Below are 25,932 nucleotides of genomic sequence, written 5' to 3' on the forward strand. Positions count from 1 at the left end.
TGTGACATTGTGACATTTAGAGTCTAGGCCTCAAGAGGCCTTACACACTCCGCTCTCAAAACCCTGCCCAGCCTCCATGAGAAGTCCGGCTAGCTTGCAGGAGCATGAGAGACCACACAGACCACAGTTGAATCACAGTAGTTGTTCAAGTTTAGACCTCAGATTTATGAGAGAACCCAGGCAAGATAAAGTGGGGGCCTGACCCAGGTGAACTGAACTCCCCAGCATACCCTAGACTCACAAGCACTGATAAATGGTTGATGTTTTACCAAAGTTTTGGGAATAGTTTCGTCTGTTATGCAGCAATAGATCACTCATAAAGAATTTATGAAATGAAGCAAAACATCCTACAACTGAATTCTAAAACAAGTAAGTGGAACTTAATTAAGTGGAACAGGTCCATTGCCCTTCCCAACCATGGGAATTTCCCCTGGAGTCTCTCATCCTTAAGGAATACTTTATCTGTGTCCTTACCACATTCCTATTAAAAAAAACTTACTGGCTCTGTGCTTTCTTTACAGCCTTGATCTATTTCAAAATGACAGCTACAAATCTGATGAACCAATCTGTAGTAATATGTTTTAACTTTCCCTCTCCTTCCAGCTACCATTTTGCATTTCAGCTATATTGTCCCAATGTTTCTAATAATGTTATAAGCTAAATATCTGATAGTAGGAATTTCTAAAAATTCCAGTCAATGCCTCTTCACCTCTCCTCCTTTCTGTAAGGCTTGCTATTATACTGTGAATGTCACTTCATCAGTGTAAACTGTATTTGTTCATCTGTAATATAATAGAATTGAAATAAAAGATTTCTATCATTTCTTGTAGTTCTCTGGATTTGGGTTTTGTACAGTCACTTACCTGTCTTGGTGTGTGTATTTTCTTTCCAGTTAATAAGTACAAGAGGCCTCCTACATAGCAGCTGGTTAAAATGCAGGGATGCATATCACGGTTTGAACAAAACTGCAATATGTACATGACATATTTCATCCCAATATGGAGGAAAGCTATGAATACTTTTAGGAAAATGGCCATATGCAAGCAAGCTGTGTTCTTTACATGAAGGAAAAATAACACATCGACCAGAATTATATTGACGATTATAATGTAGGGAACACAATCTTTTTTTGGAAGTTTTTATAATATTCTTGAACTTACAGAAATCTGCTATAAGGAAGTGATCAGATATAGATGAAAGATTTATGCAGAATGATGTTCATAGCAGCTTCATTAGTAACAGTGAAAAATCAGAAACTGAATTTTCCAACTGTCAGTTAAAGCACAATTCATATAGTAGAATATCAAAGTTAGGCTCTCAAAGACTATTTAATTTCACATTGGAAAATATCCACGTATAAAATTAAATGAAAATGAAGGAAAGAAAACATAGACAGTATTATCCTATTATTGTAATAATATATAGAAATGTAAATAAATGGAAACAGAGAGGGAGAAGGAAAAATACTCTAAAATGTTAATGTGTCTGGGTAGTAAGATATGTCTATGTAATTTATTTTCAGTGTTTACCATGAGCACTATCACATTCGCGGTCAAAAACCGCTCAGGAACGCTTTGGAGCCCTAGCTTTCCGAGCGCAGGTAGAGCAGCCCGGGCCCGCCCACGCCCCTGGCTTTGCGCGGTGCAGTTTGAACCGCTTCGGAAACAGCTGGCCCGGCGCGCGCGGCGGGAGGGACGCGAGTGCTCGGAAGAGCCGCCCCACGTGCTTTCGGGGAAACTGCCCGGGAGCGAGAAGGACTGGGATTGAGAGGAAACCGAAAAGCGAAAGTTAGAGCCTGCGGGAGCAGTACGCAGGCGCAGCACGCAGGCGCAGCGGGGCTTTCCCGCAGCCCGCTTCCTCCCAACGGTTTCTCCCTGGCGGCGGGCGCACTGCTCGCACGCTCGCCCTGGGGCTGCAGATCGGCTTGCGGGACGGGGTCCCAGAGAGGCCGGTCCACGCGGCCCGCACGCGCGAGTGTTAGCTCTGCACACGACGGAAGGCGGAGGCGCGGGTGGCTGCCGTTTCACCTTAGAGGGAGGGAGGGAAACGTGTCCTGATTTCTGCACCTAAGGTGCTGGAAACCTTACCCTTGCACTTCCACCGTTTCTTTCCTTGTCCTGAAAAGGTCTCTTTTACCCGCTTCACTTCGCTATCTACACAGTTTGCACTTGCACTGACTCAGATCTTGTCCTGTCTGGTAAGCTGTGACCCTCAGCCAGCCTGGGTAGCTGCCCTTGAACCAGAGGTTGGGGTCTGGCAGTTTCTATAGGCGTCCTCAGGCTCGGTCTGCAAGGGGCTTGCCTCTTTCTTCTGGGGTCTTCTCGCCCCCATGCCTTCTCAGTTGTGGTGATTATACCAGAAGGAACGTGGGAGAAGTATAATGGAGAATGCTTAGTCACTGGACAATGATTTCGAAAGTTCGGCTGGCTGAGGAAACAAGAGTTTTGTGTAATGTCTGTGACTTACTCAATGGTTCTAGGAGGCACGAGACTGAGTTTCTTTGGGCTCTGCTCGCCTACTCTTAAGGGGCTCTACCTTCTTAGGGTGAACTCGGCACCCACCTAGAACCTCCAGTGTGTGAAAGGGCCTACCTACCTCATTGGGCCCCAACCTCCAGCCTCTTGTGAGAGTGACGACCAGCCCCAAAATGGCTGCACACAAACAAGACCCTAAGGTACAGAGTCCTACTATGCAAATAGACGTTTATTTTCCCCTGTTAGAACAACACAGGACCAGCTATGTAATTTGCAGGGAGGGCCCGTTGCAAAATGAAAATGTGGGGTCCCTTACTCAAAATTAATGAAGAATTTCAAGAAGGCAACAGGAGAGCATGAAGCCAAGCGTGGAGCCCTTCTGAGTGCCTGCCCTGTGGAAGCCAGACCTAGGTGGGGAATTTGGGGGCATTTCTTGTATAGCAACCTTGTTCGATGTTCACTTAAATGAAGAAACAAATTTTATAACACCACTCACCTGTTTAAAAGCCTCTGCTGGCTTCAATTTGCAATAAGAATCCAGGGCCCGCCAATTTGGGCTCACCTACCCCTCTTACTCATCTTATCTCACCCCATACTTCACTAGGCTCCCCTCAATCCCCTTAGCCTCTTTCTGTTCCTCAGATACCCCAAGTTTTTACCTGCCTGAGCCCTATGCATACATACACTGGTCTTTTGGGATGCTGTTTTCCTGACTGTGTTCATGGACTGCCTCCTTCCCATTCTCTAGGTCTCAGTTCAGTCATCATCTCCTCAAAGACACCCTCATTGATTGCTTCTTCCAGTGACTGTATCACACTTGCAATCCTCATAACACTTGTTAAACCTATCCCTGTTTATTATTTGTCTGTTTTCATCTCTCCTCGCCAGCGTGTAAGTTCACAACAGGAGGGAGTTTGTTCTGTGTTAACAGCCTTTTCCATCCAGTATTCCATGAGACAATTCAGTCTAATCCCCCAGGGTATCTATGTGTGTAATGAATTCCCTGCTCTCCTGTATATCTAGAATGTCACTGTATGCCATCCCTGGGAGAACTGAGAAAATCGTCAAGCAAATCACTTTCTGTGTCTTGTGGTTCAGAAACCCTGGTTAAGCAAAGCAATGCCTGATACAGGCATTTTCAAATATTTCAAAAATATTTTTTGAATGAATAAATGAACGTCACTGACCAACACTGAGATCAGGAATCACAGGTTAATTCAGCCATTCAGATCTCAGCACTGGCTCTAAGACCTATCGAGCCACAATTGAGGGGGGAAGAGAATAATGAGCATGCATAGCGCAAAAAACTTCCCTAAAGGACTTTTAATGAGAGCTCTACTCCTTCACACCCCTTCCAACCTCTCCCCTCTCTCTGCCCTCTCTGGACGGCAGAGTTCTTTCCGTTTGCGGCAGTCTATCAGTCTGTGAGATGTCTAAGAAGATGACTGTCAAGCCTGACATAAGAGTGTTGTGGAGGACTTTTTTTTTTTTTGAGTCGGAGTCTTGCTCTGTCGCCCAGACTGTAGTGCAGTGGTGCCATCTCGGCTCACTGCAAGCTCTGCCTCCCGGGTTCATGCCATTCTTTGTGGAGGACTTTTACTAGGGGCAGAAGTAGTAATGCCCTTGAGTGTAATGGAGAGTTTAGGGGAAATTTCAGGAACACTTGGTTCATCTATGAGTAGGTAGATGTCTAGGATGTTAGGCATGCATGAGATAATACCTAGCATCAAAGGGAAGTTAGAGTGAGCTTATAAACTGTAATTCTAGACAATGTCTATTGGAAGTTCAGGGTGAGGTAGGGAGGAAGTCCTCTCTGTGTGATCAAAAGCAAGTGTGTTTTGGTTAATCAGGATGAAGCATAACATTGGGGGCTGTTTCATGATTTTAGAGTTTGGAGCTGTTAGGAAGAGAATTTCAGCTTAGTTTTGCAGGCAGCCCAAGGAGCAAAGGAAAGGAAGGAACTAATGACTGTTCTTGATGTGTCCAAACACCAAATCATTAATAAATATTTATTCAGGGCCAGATTGTACTAGATTCCAGGGATATAACTGTGAGCAGGGCTGTCTTGGTCCATGTACATACAGAGCTTGCTTAGAGTCTATTGAGGAAAATAGATGATATCATTTACACCAAAGGAGATAAGCACTGTGCCGGGGATGTAGAGGATGCTATGGAGGAAGCGTGGCATGACCTGAGCCATGCGCACACATGCGTGTGTGTGTGTGTGTGTATGTATGTGTGTGTGTTTGGCAGGAAGGCTTTCCAGAGCCTGAAGAATGCGTAAACATTATCCAGGTGCAGGGATATATGGGATGGGGTTGGAGAATTGAGAGGATGTGGCAGGGGAAACAGAGAGAACATGGGCCATCAAAGAAACTGAAAGTAGTTCAGTCAGTCTTGTGTGCAGATGTTTTGGTGGATAAGAAGCTGTTGGGGAGGAGTGAAGAGAGATGAGTTGAAGACTAAGAGGGGACTAAATAATACGTGACTTTGGAAAGATCTGTTGCGAATTGTGGTCTTTATCCAAAGCTGGGATTCTTAACTAGTTTTTGTGACATGGACCTCTTTGGCAGTCTGATGAAACCTGTAAGTTTTTCAGAAAATAATGTTTTTAGTTGAATAAGATAAGATGCATAAGATTCAAAAGAAAACCAATTACATTGAAATACTGATATCGGGCCAACTTTGTGATATATTAAAACCAACTTTGTGACATAGTAATATAAATGATTCTTTTTTTTTCTTTTTTTTGAGACAGAGTCTCACTCTGTCACCCAGGCTGGAGTGAAGTGGCATGAGCACGGTTGGCTGCAGCCAAGACCTCCTGGGCGATCCTCTCACCTCAGCCTCCAGAGTAGCTGGGACCATAGGTGCATACCACCACACCTGGCTAATTTAAAAAAAAATTCTATATATATATATATATATATATTCTGAGTAGAGATGGGGTCTCCTTGTGTTTCCTGGACTGGTCTCAAACCCTGAGGCTCAAGTGATCCTCCCACCTCAGCCTCCTAAAGTGTTGGAATTACAGGCATGAGCCACTGCACCTAGCCATGCACTTATTTACTAATGGCATTAAATAATAGGATTTAGCAGTGGGTCCAATTAATGCAATTTCAAAATTGTGCTTAGCATAAACAATATTTTGAGATGACTTTAATAATTATAATATGATATAAACGTGGTATGGGTTATGGTTTGCTGCCCATATAATTGAAGGAAATTAACTGTAGTTAGAAGTTAGTGGAAGTAAAACTGTAACTTTTGCCATCTAAATTCATGAGCCCTTTGAATTCTGTCCATACACCCCAGACAAGAACTGCTAATGCAGAGCATCATGAGCCATTCAAAAATTTTAAGTAGGGAGTGAAATTATCCAATTTAAGTAGAGCCCTCTGTCTACATATGAAGCTGCATGAAATTGTTTTTTATATTTACTGTAAGGAAAGAGAGAATGTCCTTCCCCATGTTTTTATGGCATCCTCTTTGTGAGTGCTCTTGTAGAAATCTTCTGTCTTATAGTGGTGGTTATACAACTATATGAGTTTGTCAGAATTCATAAGCTGACACACCCAAAAGGGTGAATTTTACTGTATGTAAATTATATGCCAATAAACCAGACTTTAAAAAGTGCATCAATAAAATCAATAAATGTTCCTGGTCAATTTGGAAAAAAAGATATCTTTACTCTGTGTCAGAAATTGGAGTATGTGTGCACAGAGGCCAAATGCTAAGCGTGGACTGTCTGTCTACAGCTAGAGCAGAATACTGGGATGGCTTGACTTTTAATTCTGTTTCTTTTACTGTGGAGAGTTGCATGGGCCTCCCAAACTGCATGAGGTAAAGAAAAATCCCTTGAATTTGCCAGAGGTATATTCATTCTTTATGATTCTTTGGTGGGGTGGGGTTCTTGCCACCTTAGATTTTGATGAAATTCATTGGCTAGTTGCCTTCTTTCAGCATTTATTACAGATGAAGGCATTGATAATCAGAACAATTAGTTAAAGTGATTCTTTAAAATAAATTTGAATAGTCATTAGCAAAATATGTATCTGTGATTGATCTGGGATGAGTGAAAGGAGAGGTGAAAATGTGATTAATATTTTGAAACTAAGAAAACCACGTGCCTTCCCTACTCATTGCTTCCTCTCTCACCATGTGATCTCTGCATATCCCAGCTTCCCTTCCCCTTCCTCCATAAGTGGAATCAGCCTAAGGCCTTCATCAGATGCAGGTACCAGTGCCATGCTTCTTGTAGAGCCTGCAGAACCATAAGCAAAATAAAGCTCTATTGTTTATAAATTACCTAGCTTTGGGTATTCCTTTAGAGTAACACAACACAGACTAAGACAGAAAATTGATACTGAGGACTGGGGGTTGCATTAAGGATACTTGCAAATGTGAAAGTGGCTTGAAACTGAATAACGGGCAGAGGTTTGGAAGAGTTTGGAGGACTCAGAAGAAGTTTGGAACTTCTTTTTTTCTTTTTTTTCAGATGGAGTCTCGCTCTGTTGCCAGGCTGGAGTGCAGTGGCACGATTTTGGCTCACTGCAACCTCTGCCTCCTGGATTCAAGTGATCCTCCTGCCTCAGACTCCCAAGACTGAGACTACAGCTGTGTGCCACCACACCTGGCTAATTTTGTATTTTTTAGTAGAGACAGGGTTTCACCATGTTGGCCAGGATAGTCTCGATCTCCTGACCTCGTGATGCACCCGTCTCGGCCTCCCAAAGTGCTGGGATTACAGGTGTGAGCCACCGTGCCTGGTTGGAACTTCTTAGAGATTGATTTAGTGGTTGTGACCAAAATGCTGATAGAAATATAGACAATAAAGGTCATGCTGAGGAAGTCTCAGATGGAAATGAAGAACTTATTGAAAACTGGAGCAAAGGTCACCCTTGTTAAACAGTAGCAAAGAACTTGGCTGCATTGTGTCTAGGCCCTATGGCTTTATAGAAGGCTGAACTTAAGAATGATGACCTAGGGTATCTGGCAGAAGAAATTGCTAAGCAACAAAGTACTCAAGAAGTGGTGTGGCTACTTTTAAAAGCCTATGCTAAATTATGGGAGCTAAGGAATGACTAGAAAGTGGAATTTATAATTAAAAGGGAAGCAAAGTGTAAAAATTTGGAAATTTCATAGCCTGGCCATGTGATAGAGAAGGAAAGAGCATTTGTAGGCAAGGAATCCAAGAGTTTGAGGAATCTGAGGGTGCTACAGAGCAACCATTGCTAAAGAGATTAGTGTGACTAAACCAGAGCCAAGTGTTACTAGTCAAGACGATGTGAAAAAGGCCCTGAAGGCATTTCAGAAAACTTTGAGGCTGACCCCTCCATCATAGGCCCAGAATCCTAGGATGACAGAATGGTTTGGGTAGAGGACAGGCCTAGAGACTGCTCCCCTGTGACCAGTCTGCTGCTTCCTGTATCCCCACCACTCCGGATGGCACAGCCATGGCTCACATGGCCTCAGTGGCCCCAGGTGTGAGTCATGTCACAGCTCTGGAGGGCATAAGCCATAAGTCTTGCTGGTGTCTACACAGTATTAAGTCTGCAGGTGCCCAGAATGCAAAAGTCATGGAGGCTTGGCAGCTTCCACTTAGATTTCAGAGGATGTATTGGAAAGCCTGGATGCCCAGGCAGAAGTCTGCTGCGGGGCAGAGCCAACACAGAGTGTCCTCTCTGGGGTAATGCCTAGGGGAGCCATGGGATTGGGGCTGCTGCTGCAAGGACCCAAGAATTATAGTCATCAGCAGTGTGCAGCCTCAGCCTGGAAAAGCCATGGGCATTCAACTCCAACCTGTGAGAGCAGCCAGTGGCCTTGGGAGTAGGGCTGCTTGAGACTGTGGGAGTCCACTCCTCATACCAGTGTACCCAGGATGCAAGACATACAGTCAAGGATTATTTTGGAGCTTTAAAATTTAACATCTGTCCTGCTGGGTTTTGGACTTGATGGGGACTGTTACTCCTTTTTTTTTGGAATGATTTCTCCCTTTTGGGATGGGACTGTTTATCCAATACATGTACCACCATTGTATCTTGGAAGGAAACAACTTGTTTTTGATTTCACAGTTAATTCGCCTTGAGTCTCAGATGGGACTTTGGATTTTGAAGTTGATGCTGGAACAAGTTAAGACTTTTGGAACTATTGAGAAGGGATGATTATATTTTGCAGCATGAAGAAGACATGAGTTTTGGGGGGCCAGGGGAGGAATGCTATGGTTTGGATGTTTGTCTCCCCAAATCACATGTTGAAATTTGATCCCAATGTTAGAGGTGAGACCTAGTGGCGGGTGTTTGAGTCAGAGGGTGGACTTATGAATAGATTAATACCCTCCTATGGTGCAGGGCATGAATACAATTCTTACTCTGTTGGTTCTTTTAAGAGCTGGTTGTTATAAAGAGCCTGGCACCTCCCCACTCTCTCTCTTGCTTCGCTTCTTGCCATGTGATCTCTACATACACCGGCTTCCCTTTGCCTTCTGCCATGAGTAGAAGCAGCCTAAGGGCCTCACATGCAGATGCAGGTTCCATGCTTCTTGTGCACTCTGCAAAACCAAATAAATCTCTTTATGAATTACCCAGCCTCAGGTATTCCTTTATAGCAACACAAAATGAAATAAGACACCCCCACAAAAATGATTTTTGGAGTACAAGATTCACAATCTTGAGAAATAACTCTTAACTCTGGGGTCAATAATTTAGTTTTGATTTTCTGAATCTAAATAAAAATAGCCACTTATTGAACTTTTATAACGTGGCCATTGTCCATATTATGGAAAATGAACTACAGATGTCCTTCATTTTGTACCCCCAAATAACAATGATGACTGTGATCACATAGAAAACCTTGGCATTCTGCTACCAGGCTCTAAATTGACAAGTTTTTAAAACTTCTGTGAAATAGGTAGGAGTCCATTGTACTTTTGATAAATTCCAGGGAGCAAAGAGCTTCTGCAATCTATTTTGTCTAAATCCAATTGTTTAAGAGCACTTCCTGGTAGGAAATTACTTCTTTAAAGATAAAACTGTAATAGTCATGCTCCAGTTTAAATTATTTCATCCAATTCTGCTGCCAGTTGATACACGTGTCAGGCAAATTTTAGAAAACCGGGTTTTGTGGAGAGAAGTAGAGACTGGGAGGATGCACCTCCAGTTAGATGCACCCTTCCATCAAACAGATGCCTCCACCCTAAAAGCATTTAGGCGCTCACAAAGGAGTAAAGGAACTGGCCTTGGGGCAGGTGGAGAGTTTGTTCCATAGGAATAATCTAGGAGCCAGTTGGGCACATGTGGGTGGGATGAGATTGCTCAGATGGAATCTCTCTAAGGGAAAGGGCAGGTTATAGTAAAAGCTTTTATTCCTTTGAACTCTTTTCCATCAAACATTAGCCTCTGCCTATTTGGTTTGCCTGGAGGACAGGAGGTGGGCAGAAGGAATGAAATAAGAGCCCTTCAGAGGGGGCTGCCATCTCTGACTCTGCAGTCAGGGCTCATCTTGAAACCTGGTTCTGGATTTTTCTGCAGCTGGCATGGCAGATGCCTCAGTAGCATTACTTGCTCAACAGATTCAGCAGCATCCCCAGGGCTCAGCAGGCATAGAGAGCTCTCCAGGTCTTGAGCACTGGAGAGCTCCATGCTATTACTAAGGACAGCAGCTGGGCAATGGCACCACTAAACATCCAGTAGGGGTGAGGCAAGGACCAAAATAGACTTGCAATTCACATACATTACTATCCAGGAAACCAACTACCCTTCCTCTTTACTAGAGAAAATTGAAGGAATGGAACATCTCATCCTAAACCTCTTTCCCCAGTCTCAGGTTGGATTCTTAGGACCAGAGAGACTATTAGAGCTGGGAAAGATCATAGAACCCACATAGTCTTACCTCTTCTAGAGATGAAGAATGAGCAACCTATGAATAAAATCAGTTACCCAAGGCCAGAGTTGTTATTCTCCTAGTCCTCATTTCATCCTCCTAGTCCTCATGAGTTTTTTTAAATTATTATTTTTTTAACCCATGTGTCTGCTTACAATACCTGTAAAATCAGTGCAGTTTGCCCAAGATACCACCAGGAATGACTCTGGATCCCTCCTCCTTTGGAACCAGCAGCTGTTGAACCCCATAGTTGGAATAACGTTGACATGGCACTAAGGAGGCTTCATAATTCAACCCTGGATGCCCCGTGAATTTCTGCTAATGTCCCATCACGACTTTCCTCTTGGATCTACTGTGATCACCATGCCTGCTAGCGTTCATCATACTGATTGGCTTATTTGGCTTTTCCCTCACGCCTTCTTGCTGAGGTGTAGGTGTGACTTTATTATTCTTGACCTACCCTGAAACATTAACACTTACATCTTCTAGCTAAAATCGTAGTAACACCAGAGAGACAAAATGAGAAATAAACCAAACACAGGCAAGCGAGTCTTCTGTTAATATTGTTATTAACACTGGTTTCTTAAAGTTGTCTTATCTTGCAAGTTTATCTGAAGCTTTGGTTTCAAGCATTTCAGTCACAACACTCCCAATTGAGGAGTGCCACGGGAGTGTGAAGAGAGCTTCAGATGTCAAACATTTCCTAGAACCTGGTATTTACAAAGCTGAAGAAATAAAATGTGGTTATTGGGCAAAGAACAGTCTTTAAACTTTTTCATTTGCTTCCTTTCTTGGTGCGTCAGAGTTTATCCTGTCATTCAGCAGAATAAGGAGACTTCATCTAAAATTAAAAATGAAAATAATCTTTGAGGAAACTACTGGTTTTCAAATCAATCACTATTTCTTGGGCAAATAAACGTCCTCTTTTCTACGAATTACTCCATAATTTTTCTATTACCTAGTTAAAATACTTAAACTAAGTATTTGCAAAAGTAATTGGGGTTGATCAGTCTAAAATAAAAGGTACCTTTCAAGGAGACAGAAAAGTGTTTTAAGAAAAAGGCCTGTTTATCCACCAAAAACATAATGAGGAAATGGGTGCAAAATGTAGCAAATGTTCAGTTAGACATAAATAACTTGACGATTTAAGGGAACTAACATTAGAATAAGCTATCAAAGTAAAGTGAATTTTTCATCTATGGAAATCTTCAAGAGAAGGACTAAAAGCCAGCCAGATAAAAATTTTTTGAGGCTTAGGGTCTCTCCAAGTTTCTATTATATTATTCTGATGTATGTTCACTTTCATGTAAATTGGGGGTTTGAACCCATTGACAGTATTGGTGGATAAGAGCAAATAGCATGCATCCCAAATAACATTATTGCATTAAAGATTATGACTCATTTCTCAAAAAGGAGAGCATTATTATGCCATTGACTGTTATTCATATATTATTGATGAGGCTCCGGGTTCTAGAAATGCAAGTCACAATCAAGAAAAATTGCAATTTGTGATGTTTGCACTGTTAAGATAGCAAACTGGGTTTACTAGATAGTAAGTAACTAGTAAACTAGATAGTATACTAGGTTTATAAATATTGACCAATAAATGGTGTTTGCTAAAGTAGAGAGTGGTGGGGAGTGAGGGGGCCCATGGTGCAAGCAGCGATAGTGTGCTTGAGTAGGGTATAGGAATATTTTGCCCTCTGGTGGTTTCTGGTGGAAACAACGTAAAGCAGTTTAAGTAACTGAAGGTGTCTGCTTTCAATACGCATAATATCAGCAACACGCAGGACCATCCAGACACCTTTTGTGTTATGCTCATGAATTTGTTCCAATAAATGTGTTTTCTCCCTACCCAGGCAGTATTTCAGCCCCTTTGATTCACACACCACCTTTGCATCGTTGGAAACACCTTTGACCAGCAATGGAAAATAAAGGGAACATACTGCAGTTTCAATTGTTGTGGGACTCAGGTTTTCTCTCAACACCGCATACACACTTGGAGACATGGGAAGAAGGTCTGATGGAGAATGTGGCTCTGTTGAATCACTTCGGCTTAAAGAGATAACAAGGTCAATATGGACAAGGATTAAAAAATAATAATAGTTCACGGTGACTTACTATGTCAGGAACTCATTTCTAGGGCTTCATCTATTTGTGACATTGAGTTATCTAATTCATCATTTCATATCAGAACACTCAACTTACTGTGGCATATATGGCATATAAAAGGGGAATTTTATAATTTTAGGCACAATAGATTGTGGTAAGTGTGCCCTGAAGGCTAGCCTTATGTATTAAAGGAAATGGGACATTGCACATTACAATGCTTTGTTCTCAGTTATGTGTACTCTGCTCTACCTTTAAATCTCCTATAGGAAAGCTTTTTATAAAAATATTTCACATGTGACTAACATTACTCACATTGTTGAGATGGGGATAAAAACAGAAGGAACATAACCTTTGTCACCCCTTTCTGTTGGTCTTGAAACTGGAAAACAAAAAGGCACAATGTTGGGGAAAAAAATGTCAATATTATCAATAAAACTGGGGAAAAAAGAGTCTAGAAAAATATTAACAATGATAAGAGGAAGAGAGATAACGCAGTTGTTCGGTGATACACAGAAATGTTTTGTTAAATAGGGGACACAATCTTTTAGATAAGCATAAAATGTGCAAGAAGAGAAAAACAAATCTCTTGGCAGGCCTAATCTGACTTTACATATTAATGCCTCTAAACTGTGTGGGAAAAATTGAGAATCAACTCTATTACCTGTTTTCTACGTTTCATTTATGTTTGATTATAAGGACTGATTGAGTCATGTTTTGGGAGATATAATAACCCAGTTCTTTTCATTAAAATTGACACCAATCAGAATCTTATGATTGCAAACGTTCTTGAAGTACAGATGTCAGTGTTCCCAAAAGTATCATTGTACTGTAGTAACAGTCATGTGCAAACCTCACCTTGGAAAAATTCCCCAAACTTCTCTGGTATACCATGTTGAACTAGTATTTGTTCCAATTTTCCAACCCTAATTTGTTGCATTGATATTTGTTATTTCATTTTTATCAGTTGTTGAAAGTCACTGAAAAGCCACAGGTTTGTTTGATTTTATTTTCTTTTGTATTTTTGTTTATTTCAGAGGGCATGAAGTCAGGTGGCTGCAAGTCTGTGAGTGACAACTGTAGGATATTCTACATGATGGTGCCCAAAGATTTAGTGCTATAGATGAAGATTTTTATGGATTGTATACACTTTCATTAAAGAAACAGAATGGTGAACGTACCTTAAAATTGCATAGTAATTTAACAAATTTTCTTTTATGTATTCAACAAATATTTACTGAATCCCTCTTTTAGCCAGACATTGCTCTAGGTCCTAGGATACAACCAGGAAAGGTAGGCTGGGAGTGTGGGGGAGGGAGAGGATGAAGCAGAGATCCACAGGTCCCCTCCCTAGCAAATGAACAAATACCCTGAGTTGTAAGACTACAGTAAGGTTAAAAATATAAAACTTATAAACCCTGGGGTTCCTTTGCAATATACAGACTTGTTTTACTATTAAAAGCTTCTCATCATTACCCCCTCTTTCTTTTCCTTTCCCTCAGTCATAGACATGAAGCCTGCACCACTTCTGTCTTACAAAGGAGAAAACTGAAGCTCTCCAAGTGGCTATGAGAGGCCCCCATGGCCATGGTGAAGTTTAGTTACAGCTGCTTATTACTCGCTAGTGTTAGAAAGCCCAGCGGTCCCTTTTCAGGAACTGCTGACATACCACTTCATTTCTAAGGCTTTGACCTCCACATGCCCTTAGATCTTACAGAAATCAGAGTAAACAAGAAGGGGAACTTCATTTACTTTGCTCCAATATGAGGTTATTTTCCAAAATCTTAAGGAAAAAAAAACAAAAACAAACAGAAAAACCTAACCTTCGCAAGGCTGAGAGCTGTAGTGTTTACCGAAGGCTTTGTCTTTGGGAATGTCAGGATATAGGTACTTCAGAGGGTTTTCAGGAATGTTTTCAGCCATAATAACTTTGTAGTCTCGCAGGATGTCAGCGAATGGCAGAGCAGACAACCGGCCTTTATTGTAGGGTTCTACAGAGTGGAATCTCACTTCCCCTTGAAAAACAGAAATTGGAGAAATATACAGGTTCCTGTACACATTCCTTGTGACCATTTCTTCCCTGCCCACATTATCTTCATGCCACTGGAGTGACTTGTCAGTTCATGTCACTTCAATGTCAGACCTTCTGCTGTCTGGACAGTATAGATTGTGCATACGATAGACTTTTTGGAATTCATAGGTACCCTGTTCTGAGACAACTGCAACTACTAATATTCAAGCCCACTGAATACATCACAGACAGATCAACACACCATACACTTCCAAAAACTGAAATCCCAGTAACCAAATTTAAGAAAACTAATTTCACATGAATAAACATTAGTGAGTATATACCACTTTCAGAATGGTCCACCCAGGTGAAAGTTATTCCTCCGAGATGGCTTTCACTGAATCTTAATAAAAAGGTGCCAGGCATTTTATCCTTTAGCAACAGCCGTTCCTTCTCTTTGCTAACAAAGCCCATGACATACCTAAAAATAGAACATGCATTATTTCATCTGATCATTATTGGATTTTCACTTATTGCATTTACAAAGACCTACAGTTTGTTTTGAGTGTAATCAAAAGTCATTCTTACCTGAAATACTCATATATAGATTAATATACATAGTGCCACTCCACAAAGAATAAGAAATTGCAACTATTTTTTTCTGTGGTACTAAACATGCTTAAGAGAAAAAGAAAGAAGAAAACCAATAACAACAGAAAAAAAGAACATAATTAACTCATATGAAAAATATAGCCTATAACTTACCCATCAATCCAAAGGGGAAGAATGTGTTTCTTAATTAGATCCAATATTGCTTCAAGCCATGTCCAAAAGGTAAATGATTTACCAGGTAAATGTTCCTACAGGAATAGACAAGCACATTAAGACAATGATTATTTAAGTAATAATGTTGATATAATAATTTAAGTTCAATTTTTCACCAAAATATTATCTTTAAACTGGACAACACCTTAATTTCTTTAAAAAATATTCTTGGCCTGGTGTGGTGGCTCATGCCTGTAATCCCAGCACTTTGGGAGGCCAAGGCGGGCAGATTATGAGGTCAGGAGATTGAGACCATCCTGACTAACACGGTGAAACCCCACCTCTACTAAAAATATGAAAAAATTAGCCGGGCGTGGTGGTGGGTGCCTGTAGTCCCAGCTAATCAGGAGGCTGAGGCAGGAGAATGGCATGAACCCGGGAGGCAGAGCTTGCAGTGAGCCGAGATTGCGCCACTGCACTCCAGCCTGGGTGACAGAGCAAGACTCTATCTCAAAAAAAAAAAAAAAAGAAAAATTCTTATCTGGGAAATTCTCAAAACCCCATGTAGTAATAGACTTAGAAAGGAACATTGTATTAAAAAAATGTATCTAAATGATGTTTCCCCGACCGTTTGTACCTTGCAGAACTTGGCCCAGGTGAGGTGACCATCACTGTAGCTAGATTGGACTGAAATGAAAGAAAAGAATGAAATTTTTCACTGGACAATGAGATGCTTCAATTTTGTGCTCAATTTAGATATTTTGCCTCTTCCCTTTCAAGCATTTCTTAAGCACTTGATATGGGTTTGCAATGTACTGAGTGCTAGGTACAGTACAAATACAAGACATCATCCTTGTTCCTAAGAAATTTATTATCTAGAAAATAAGCTTTTTGGTGGAGGAGCTAACAATGGCTTTAGAAAGCAGGTGGGTATCTAGGATATGTATGGGTAGAATATAAATTGTCAGAGGAGATGAAGGAGGCCACTCCAGAGAGCAAGAGTAATATAGGACGAAGCATGATGGACATGGAGAAGGCTCACGTTGGAGACAGGAAGAGCTGCCTAATGTCGGTAAATGAACATTATAAAACAAATTTGTGTAAGTTAGGTATAGCTAGATTACCAGGAATGTTGCCTATTAAGATGGAAAGAATGGACTAGAAATCTATTAGATAGTAGCCATTGGCTGTTTTGATCCAGAGCAGTGAAAGGATGCAAGAGTTTCCATCTAAATTTTTAAGGACATTATACTCATAAGAATAATTTGATAAAGGTCTGAAAGGATATGGTTTCTATCTATACTACATGTTTAAAAGCTTTAGTCACTCTAACAAATGTTTATTGAATGCTATTGCTGCTTATGAATTAAATAAGGATCAAAACATGTATTTCCATTAAGTAAATTTTGTGATGTTTTCCAAAGTCCTAATGTATTTAGGTACCTATTGATCCAAGAGTAGATGCAAGTGGCAAGCATCCCAGCACCATGTGAGTCAAGCTTAAATCACACATGATTCTACTTCTGCACAAATGGATCTTTGGCCCTAATTTAACTAGAAACGCATATAGATCTAATTTTAACTCTTTTTTTGGTGTTAAATATGTTAAACCCTGACTTGTCAAAATACAGATCTCTTAGAGACTTTTTAGAAAATGTTTGGATTATAGTTGGCACATGTAGTACCAGTGACTCTATTTTGCAAACTTTAGAAATCTCAGTCAAAGCTGAAACTTTCTTGGTATGCAGAATTAAGTATTGCCCAGGTAGTTTAAAACTTCTATTACATTTCCTAGACCTAGTGAAGAAATCAGTCATTTTCCAGTTGGTTAATGTCAATTGAGACGTTCGTATGAACGATCATATGAGGCACCATTAAGGGTTCACCTCATATTTAGTGGAAATATACCCTGGAGACTGGGGTGGGGAATAGACAAGGAGGGGCTTTAGACCTGGACAGGTCTGGCCTGTGGCTTGGTGCTGCTGTGTACTAGCCATGCAGCCGTGGCAAGTCACTTGACTTCTGCACTCCAATCCAGTCATTTATAAAATTGGTAGAATAAGCTGAGCTTTGCAGGACTTTCCTGAGAATTAAAAATAATATAACACTTAGTTCTGTGCCTGGCAATATAGTAGGCATTGAATAAATTATGATTATCATCTTTATTATTAGTAGTAGTAATAGCGTCCTGGTTATTTAAAATGCCTGAGGGCCAAAAACAGAGGCAAATCCTCTCTATCTACCAGCTCTCACCTGTAAGCTTCTCTGCCAGCATATGGAGTTGATCTGAGTTAAGACCACGACCAACGTACGATGAAAACTGCCAGCTCATCACCTCCAGTAGTTGACTCAATGTGGCAGGTGGAGGATTATTAAAGAAAACCAAGTTCTGAAATAGAGTCAAGATGATAATTTGTTAATTATCTTACAGTGGGTAGCTAGTGAGGTGTGAGCAGGGCAAGAGAGGTCTCCCCCTCTCCCCACACACATACTAGGAGTGTTGGGTGACTATTAGGTGATAGTCAGGCAGTTAACTGTTTCTCTAAAGTCATAATTGGTCACAGCTGGTGCCAGGGAACAAGCGTGTCCTAATAGAAAACACCTAAAACTGTTCAGCAGCTTCCCAGTATGATCTCAGGAGTGGAGAGAAGTAACAAGACTTCTGAAGAATGCCAACCCCAAATCAAGAGGTCAAGCTGCACACTTGGCTTCTCAAGTTGCCCGCTTGGCCCTCTTCCAAGTTGTACTTTCCTTTCCTTCCTTTTCTTACTGTTCTAAAGCTTTTTAATAAACTTTCACTCCTGCTCTGAAGCTTGCCTTGGTCACTCCTTCTGTCCTATACTCCTCAGTTGAATTCTTTCTTCTGAGGAGGCAAGAATTGAGGTTGCTGCAGATCCATACATATTTGCCACCAGTAACAATTACGCTTATGACACTGTAATTCAATATATAGGATTCCTAATTTAAAGTCTTTTGGCCAACCTAAGTAAACATAAAATATCATCTCATCTCTGTTGTTCTTAAGACTGATGTGGTCTTTTCCTAAAAGTCTCCTTGTTCTTTGAGTATAATATAATCAGGGCTCCATCTTTCTTCAGAAGCATCGCTTGACATCTCTTTAACTTTTCCGTATCAGTCTACTCATGCAAGAACTTAACATTGTCCAAAAAGTAATTTGACAGATACTCTTTTCTAAAACAATATTCATCCTAAACAAAACTTATATCATATTATTTAATTGGTTTATCGTGGGGTTGGCACAAATTTTACCTTGACCAGACCAATCATCCCAAAGTGCTAGAAATGGTAAAGTCCCAGGCTAGGGAAGGTGACCCTACAATATTATGATTAACCTCAAATACCTATTTTATGGACACCATAGTAGTCTTTTCTTATTTGCTCTACATAATTAAAAAAAACAAAAACAGAGAAATGATCTCGCTCTGTTGCTCAAGCTGGACTTGAACTCCTGGGTTCAAGAAACTCTCTTGCCTCAACCTCTCAAGTAGCTGAAACTACAGGTGTGTACCATTGTGCCCAGCTAAATAAGAGAATATTCTGTGTGATCGACTACAAACGAGATTGTGCCAGAAACCAGGTCAACAATAGTGAAACATAAGACTCTGTCCCAGATTACTGGAAAACAGATGTGTGAAACTCAAGAAACATGTTTCAAGAAGAGGAAAGGAAGAATTCAGAAATCCAGTGCGGTGCCTGGAAAAGGCCGTTGTGAACAAGAGCTAAATTGGGCTTAGATTAATCAAGAAAAAGAACCAATTCAAGAGATTTCAGAAGGTGGGAATGAAAGAGGACACAGCATCCAACAAGGAATGGGCAATAGGAAGAGGAGGAATGAAGAGAAAGAATTTCTAGGGAGATGGTTTTTTGTGAACCTGAGAATGGTGCCTGGAAAAGTGACCAGAAAGCACAGAATACAATCAAGGCCTAAGGGCTTAGGTTTCAAAGCAGGATAGAATTAAGAGGAGAAACCAGGATTAGTTGTTTAGACTGGTTCTGTAACTAGGCTGTGAATCTGTGTTTTAGGAGCTGTATATTATCTATAGCTCTAGATTCTCATCCTAGAGCCATGTAAATTTGGGATGATGGGTGTGACGACTTTGGTGCCTTTCTTACAGAAGGAGGTTGCTGAAGAAAGCTAAGTGCAGCACTTCTCTGTGAGGCTGGAGGACAGAGAAGTATCCCATCACTCCTTCTACTCCCTGGAGTTGGAAGAAAGCTGAACATGTGTAGATCTAATGGGGATCAGCATTTAATCTCAGGGGCATTGGCTGTCCTTTGCCTTAAAGATCAGGCGATTTCTCTGGTAAGTTCTGCTCTTTTTGGGGCACCCTGCACAGTCTTCCTCTCTGCAATTAATTTGTCTCAGATGCTAGGGCACTTGAGGAGGAGAAGGAGTAGGCCTGAGTCATTTTCCTCGTTGTTTCCTTATTAGAACATTGAATCAAAGAGAAAGAACACTAACAGCTGATTCATTATGATCTTGTTCTTACTACTGGGATCTAAAGTAGAAGAATTCTTCCCTTTGGAGGGAACATTTGCTCTGAATTAAGAAGAAATGTTGTTATTTACATCTGACCTATTTTCTCTAGACCTCAGTGGTTTCCAGGACAACACACTGAGGTTTTGAAGGAGGGGTGCAAGGGGAAGTGCTGACTCATCTTTTTTGCCACTCCCTTCCCTGGTTGTCTTATAAGAAGAACACCTATTCACTGCTTGCTTTGTGACTTGAGGCCAATTTTGGGTCAGTGTCACAACGACCAGATAGCATTAAAACCCAGCTTGAGCCTAGGATGGATGAAATCTGTAATCCACTTGAAAATGTGCACTGTCAGAATACGATTAGGCAAGATTGATGAATATTCTACTTACTTACTTGGAAACCAATTCTCTACCTTTGTAGAAGAGACTGCATGGACAAGGTGGGACCAGAGCAGCTGGGGAGGTAAGAAGTTTCCTTCAGCTTAGTTAACAGAGTCATAGGATGGCCCTGGAACTCTCTGGTACGCACATAGTTGGCAGCTGACCAGACCCTCAGAAATAACAAATCCCTGTTACTTTTGCTAGCAGAATTCTCTCAGGGTCCACATATATCAGAACATACTACTTTAAATATGACATGAGAGGAAACATACAACTAGAAATACTACAAATAAAGCAACTCTCACCCCACACCCCACTGGCACACACATGTTTTGATGCAGATGTGTTTGTTGGCAATAAAACAAATCGAATAGCATTAAAGAAGTTGAGGTAGAAATAGAGTCTACCTGGGAATCGTTGGTTGACACGTTGTACCAAATGATGGATGCCCAAGCATTAGGTAACTGACTGACATTGGAAATCATCACCACAGGCAATGAGCTGGTCTGGTTTGGGGGGAAAAAAGCATAGTTATTACAGGTAGTCCCACCTTACATTGATCTTATGCTTGACCCTCGCCTCTAAAGGGCCAATCTCAAGCCAGCCCCACACCTCCAGTCCTGATGTCCATGGTGCCCTGGTCACTGAAATGACTTGTGAAGGCCATGGAACTTTCTGAGCATGCATAAGTAAGGGCACAGAGAGGAAAGAGCAGGAATCCTTTCAGAGTGCTCAGTCAGGCAGCTTCCCAGTATCTCCCCTGACATTGCGGACACATTTATACTTTTTAAATGTCACCCACTGTCTCAAGTGCAATATATTAGAGAGTCTATTGAATTAGCAACAATCTTCTCTATAAGTTAAATAAAAGAATCTATTTTAAGTTTATCTCTGGAATGAATCAGTACCTTCAAATTATGACCTAACACCTAATTAACATAAACACTGGAAGTGGGAGGTTTCTATTGTAAAAATAGGAGAGATAAGCTATGGGAGATAGAGCCGTCTGTGCTATTGTTACAGAACTAACTCAATTTAATACTCTTGGTTCTGTGGTTTTCTACTTTATGAGATAAACAGGCTTTTACAAATTAGCTTGGGAAACTAATCAACTTACAGTACTCTTTTCCCAATAACAGACATCAGATTCCTGTAGATGGTAAAATACCCATTTGAGGAACTTTAACAACTCATAAAAACAGAGGTTTAGGGAAAGGAGGTGAGGAAGGAATCTATGAAAGCTTTTGCAAACATATTACCATCATTAAGATAAAAGAGCAAAGGCAGAATTCTAAAACAATATACTCCACAATAGGATCATATTCAGGGTGTGTGAGATTGTGTTTGTTCATTCATGCACTGATTCATTCACGGTGTCCTGCCTTCAAGGAGCGCATAGTCAATTCATGTTCAATTTAATTCCAAAAGTTTCTTTATTCTTTCTTTGAGTTTAGTGGTGATTGTTTTATGAGGATCAAAGCAACATACTGTAATGTTCCTATTATTTGTCTTTGCTCATTATGTTAGATAAATCTTCCTTCTGTGAGTTTTTATGTAAAGTTAAATTTTTGAAAATATATTACTACAAAAAAAAGAAAATATATCACTACATGACATAAGCTCAAGGATACTTATTTCTCTTTAGGCTTTCCACTGAGTGTTCATGACTCAGGAAATCCCAGAAAACAAACAAACAAGAACTTGAGCAACAAATTATTTAATGTATATAAAGTTCGTAATACTCTTGAGCTTTTTATTTTCTTTTATTTTTTATTTATTTATTTTTTTGAGACTAGGTCTCACTCTGTCACCCAGGCTGGAGTGCAGTGGCATGATCAGCACTCACCGCAGCCTCCACCTCCTGGGCTCAATCAATCCTCCTGCCTCTGCCTCCTGAGTAGCTGGGACTACAGGCACATGCCACCACACCCAGCAAATTTTTGTATTTTTAGTAGAGGTGGGGGTTTTCACCCTGTTGCCCAGGCTGGTCTCAAATTCCAGGGCTCAAGCAATCCACCCACCTTGGCCTACCAAAGTGCTGGGATTACAGATGTGAGCCACTGCACCCAGCTACCCACAAGCTTTTATCATATATATTTAACCAAAATATTATGTTAACTAGTGAATATTTGACATATTGACTTTCTAAATTAAAACAAAATAATGAATATGGAATGTACTAAAACCTAGAAAAGACTGAGCTTACATCTATTAATGCTGACCAATTCTTGCAAATGCCATTAGTAAATAGTGTATGTTCTTGAAACACCTACCTCCAAATCTATGGTCAGGCCATAGAGGCAGATCTGTGTTTCAAACGTTATGGAATGAAGTTCTTCAGTCACCATGTGACAGCCCTAAGGAAGAGAGAAATAAATTGTTACCTCACAAATGCATACTCACTATCTAATAGAAGACTTGTTTCTATATAAATTAATATATTTATTAATAAATTAATAAAGTAAATACCCCCAAACAGTCTCTATTATTGAACATTCCCTCTTATTGTTTTAAAAGTTATATACAGTTTGGAAAATCTTCATTTCCCCAAACAGAATGATTTTAAGTCTTCAAAACAAGATAATTTCTGGCTTTAAAAATTCTGGCATAGTTTTTTTTCAGTTGAAATTTAGACAAGTTTTTCCTTATTTTAATGTTTGAAAATTGGTACTTTTGATTTACCAAATGTTAATAAAAGCAATCCATATATGCATAGGTATACAGATACAAGTCTTAGTGTCACAATGAATCTGTTCAAAAAGAATGCAAGACCTCCTTCTGGTTTAACATGGTAGGTGGAGTACATGTATTTTCCTCTGTTCCCTCCAGACACTCCAATAAGGTAATAGCTGGAGTTTTATTCACTTTCCAATAAAGTAAAACTGTAATCTAGATCCCTGAGTGAAAGGTAGGGGAGTGTAGAGTAAGGGTAGAAGAAAGAACCCAGAGGTTGAAAGCACTGAGCTCCCTGAGGCTGCAGAAAAGAAGACTGCAGACCAGGATGTGCTGTAAGAGCCCCAGCTCAGGCAGTGAGGTCTCCACCCCTCCAGACCTGGGCACAGGAGGGAGGTTTGCTCTTTGGAGTGGATGAGTCAGAGGAATTACAGAGGCTCTCTACATTCTGGGAACAAGGTCAAGCTGCAGTCAGGGGTTAGGTGCTGTGTGTGCTAAAGAGTGGAAGGTCCTGTTAAAGTTTACGGTTAAGCCCATGCTTGCCCCTTCTCCGACATCTAGAGCCAGGCTTAAAAGCTCCTGGAAAGGTATCTGGGAAGTTTGCCAGACCAAGGGAGGTAACATACAGCTACTGCCTTCTATACCCAACACCGTCCTCCAACACCCCTTTGAAACAGCCAGATTCTAATAATCACCCTAAGTCTACAGTTCTCAACACGCACATAGAATTTTCAGGCTGTTTTTTAATGCCCTTCTCTTAATTATTAACAGCAAGCTAATGATCATCAGGCATTTGACAAAGACTTTCACATGAAATAAGAATGCAAAAACAAAAAACTCAGAGGAAAAGCAAAAAGTAAAAATAAATAAATAAATAAAAGAATAAAAAAACAGTGAAAAAAGTCTACTGTATTCAGCTCAGTTTATTCAATAAATATATGGCATGTTGAAGGCGCAGATCAACCGTTTGTAATGGGAAGATAGTGCTTAGATACTGATTTGAACAAACCAACTGTCAAATGGCCTTTTTTGAGACAATAGAGGAATTTGAACAAAAAATAGGATTTTATTAAGGAAGCATTTTAAAAAAATTATTATTTTGGTTTTTGTGATAAGTGTATTGTGGTTAGGTTTAAACATTTCTTATATTCTAAAGATACCTGCTGAAGTATCTATATTATACTGTACTATCTAGAATTTGAGAACTCCAGGAAAAATGTATGTATAGGTGAAAAATAGGTTAAATAAGATAGGCAAAATATTAATCATTGTTGAAGTTAGGTGATGCTTAAATTCATTCATTGTATTCTCTCTTTTTTTTTTTTCTTTTTTGAGATGCAGTTTTGCTCTTGTTGCCCAGGCTGGAGTGCAGTGGCACAATCTCGGCTCACTGCAACCTCCGCCTCCTGGGTCCAAGTGATTCTCCTGCCTCAGCCTTCTGAGTAGCTGGGATTACAGGCATGCGCCACCATGCCTGGCTAATTTTGTATTTTTAGTAGAGATGGGGTTTCTCCATGTTGGTCAAGCTGGGCTCGAACTCCCGACCTCAGGTGATCCACCCGCCTTGGCCTCCCAAAGTGCTGGGATTACAGGCGTGAGCCACTGCGCCCGGCCGTATTCTCTATTCCTGTATATATTTGAAAATGCACATTAAAACACTTTTTAAAAACTATATAAAACAAAGATTACATCAGTGTAACAAGAATAGAATATTATTGTAAGAAACATTCTGAAAATAATAAAGAACCACTTAAAATATAATAAGAGAAATAGACAAGTCAGTAAAAAGATTGGACATAAAGTAGAGGAAATTTCCCAGAATGTAAAACAAACAAAAAAATCCCACAAAGACGTCAAAAATAGAATAGAAAAGATAGCAAATAAAGAATTAATATATGAACTGCAGCAACAAACTAACACAAGTTCTGGAAAGAGAACAGAGAAAATGGAGTAGAGGAAATGTCAAAGACATAAACAAATTGTAATTCTTATATACCACTTATGCAATTGTTACAATCACTTTGGAGAACAATTCCTCAGTATCTAGAAAAGTAGAAGATGCACATTACCTATACGTAACAATTCTTGTTGAATCATCTGATTCTGACTCATCTGCTACCAAATATATATAGGTCAAAGATTTTTTGCACTCATTAAAAAAAAAAGACATGTAGAAGAATGTTAATTGAAGAATGTTTATAGTAGAACTGCTTAGAATGCTAAAATGATTCATCAATAGGAGAATAGCTAGCTATACTGTGTATATTTATAGAGCAAAAAACTATACAGCGTTGGAATAAATGATCCACAGCAACATGAATCAACGTAGGAATGAGTCTCAGAAAATATTTTGTTGAGCAAGAAAAGCAAGTTGTGATAAAATATATACATAAGGATGCCATTTATGTAAAATCTAAATTTATAATACAGAATAATATAAAGTATATAGAAACATATTCATTCATAGAAAAAGTATAAAGGCATTCTTGAAAACAATAAACATCAAAATTCAAGGCAATGGTTATTGGGAGGTGGGTGGGTACAGAGAGGAAAAGGATTAAAGGCGGGGGTGGGGTGGGGGTACCAGGTGTCTTCAACTATATTTGCAAAGTTTGAATTTTTAAGCTATTTGATGGGTGTTCATGCTATTATTCTTTATGTTTTTACATGTTTTCAATAGTCTATAAAAATGAATAATACAAGAAAACTTCTCAAAGTAAAGGACATGAATGTTCAAATTGGAAGGACCCATGAATGGCTGGCACAATAAATAAATGAAGGACCACACCAAAACTCATTGCTGTAAAATTGCAGGAAACCAGTTTAAAAGTTTCAGGAGTGCAGGAATAAAAAGGCATTTATAAATGATTAAGAATCAGAATACAAGATAAGTAGAAGACAATGGAAAAGTGCTTTAAGAATTTGGGGGAATAATGATTTCTAACCCAGAATTCTATATCCAGCCAAACTATCAGTCAACTATGGATGGGAAACACTTTTTCAGATATGCAAGTCCTCTGGAAATTTGGCTCCCTAGTACTTTTTCTCTGGAAACTACTGAAAGAGTCTCTCCAATAAAAAGGAGACAGTAACCTAAGAAAGAGGAAGACATGAACCCAGCCAGGAGAAGGGGGTGGG

At 40.1% G+C, this 25,932-nt stretch overlaps 1 protein-coding gene and 3 long non-coding RNA genes across 8 annotated transcripts in view, besides 2 other annotated features; 2 read left to right on the forward strand and 2 right to left on the reverse strand.

Moving 5' to 3' along the window:
* Nucleotides 1,536-1,985: an enhancer, noted in NCBI's record as "active region_16877". NCBI's record gives its function as "activates an Ori minimal core promoter by ATAC-STARR-seq in GM12878 lymphoblastoid cells {active_cell/tissue: GM12878}" and the evidence as "EXISTENCE:reporter gene assay evidence [ECO:0000049][PMID:35858748]".
* On the forward strand, nucleotides 1,873-9,056 carry LOC124900514 (uncharacterized). The gene is made up of 2 exons (XR_007087796.1): nucleotides 1,873-2,674; nucleotides 6,973-9,056. It is a non-coding gene; the product is annotated as an uncharacterized LOC124900514 (long non-coding RNA).
* Nucleotides 2,129-2,746: an enhancer, noted in NCBI's record as "H3K27ac hESC enhancer chr2:191885525-191886142 (GRCh37/hg19 assembly coordinates)". NCBI's record gives its function as "activates a minimal SCP1, AML or CMV promoter by ChIP-STARR-seq in primed H9 embryonic stem cells {active_cell/tissue: H9 hESC(primed)}" and the evidence as "EXISTENCE:reporter gene assay evidence [ECO:0000049][PMID:30033119]".
* Nucleotides 2,856-13,644, forward strand: STAT4-AS1 (STAT4 antisense RNA 1). Its single transcript, NR_136318.1, has 3 exons — nucleotides 2,856-2,885; nucleotides 12,215-12,427; nucleotides 13,502-13,644. It is a non-coding gene; the product is annotated as an STAT4 antisense RNA 1 (long non-coding RNA).
* On the reverse strand, nucleotides 4,470-6,987 carry LOC107985785 (uncharacterized). Its single transcript, XR_001739163.1, has 2 exons — nucleotides 6,633-6,987; nucleotides 4,470-5,058 (listed from the first exon to the last, which is right to left on the reverse strand). It is a non-coding gene; the product is annotated as an uncharacterized LOC107985785 (long non-coding RNA).
* Nucleotides 10,906-25,932, reverse strand: part of STAT4 (signal transducer and activator of transcription 4) — a 122,021-nt gene continuing 106,994 nt past the window's right edge. For all 5 annotated transcript variants that reach the window (NM_001243835.2, XM_047445604.1, XM_047445603.1 and 2 more), the window contains 10 exons: nucleotides 22,395-22,478; nucleotides 20,529-20,627; nucleotides 17,494-17,629; nucleotides 15,878-15,927; nucleotides 15,241-15,335; nucleotides 14,820-14,956; nucleotides 14,288-14,479; nucleotides 12,780-12,846; nucleotides 12,302-12,410; nucleotides 10,906-11,196 (listed from right to left, as the gene is read on the reverse strand). In NM_001243835.2, the coding sequence (NP_001230764.1) occupies nucleotides 11,170-11,196; nucleotides 12,302-12,410; nucleotides 12,780-12,846; nucleotides 14,288-14,479; nucleotides 14,820-14,956; nucleotides 15,241-15,335; nucleotides 15,878-15,927; nucleotides 17,494-17,629; nucleotides 20,529-20,627; nucleotides 22,395-22,478 (996 nt within the window). In that variant the 3' untranslated portion in view covers nucleotides 10,906-11,169. The remainder of the gene's footprint in view (nucleotides 11,197-12,301; nucleotides 12,411-12,779; nucleotides 12,847-14,287; nucleotides 14,480-14,819; nucleotides 14,957-15,240; nucleotides 15,336-15,877; nucleotides 15,928-17,493; nucleotides 17,630-20,528; nucleotides 20,628-22,394; nucleotides 22,479-25,932) is intronic.

Source organism: Homo sapiens, chromosome 2 (assembly GCF_000001405.40).
Source record: "Homo sapiens chromosome 2, GRCh38.p14 Primary Assembly".
In the NCBI taxonomy this organism is placed as follows: Eukaryota; Metazoa; Chordata; class Mammalia; order Primates; family Hominidae; genus Homo; species Homo sapiens.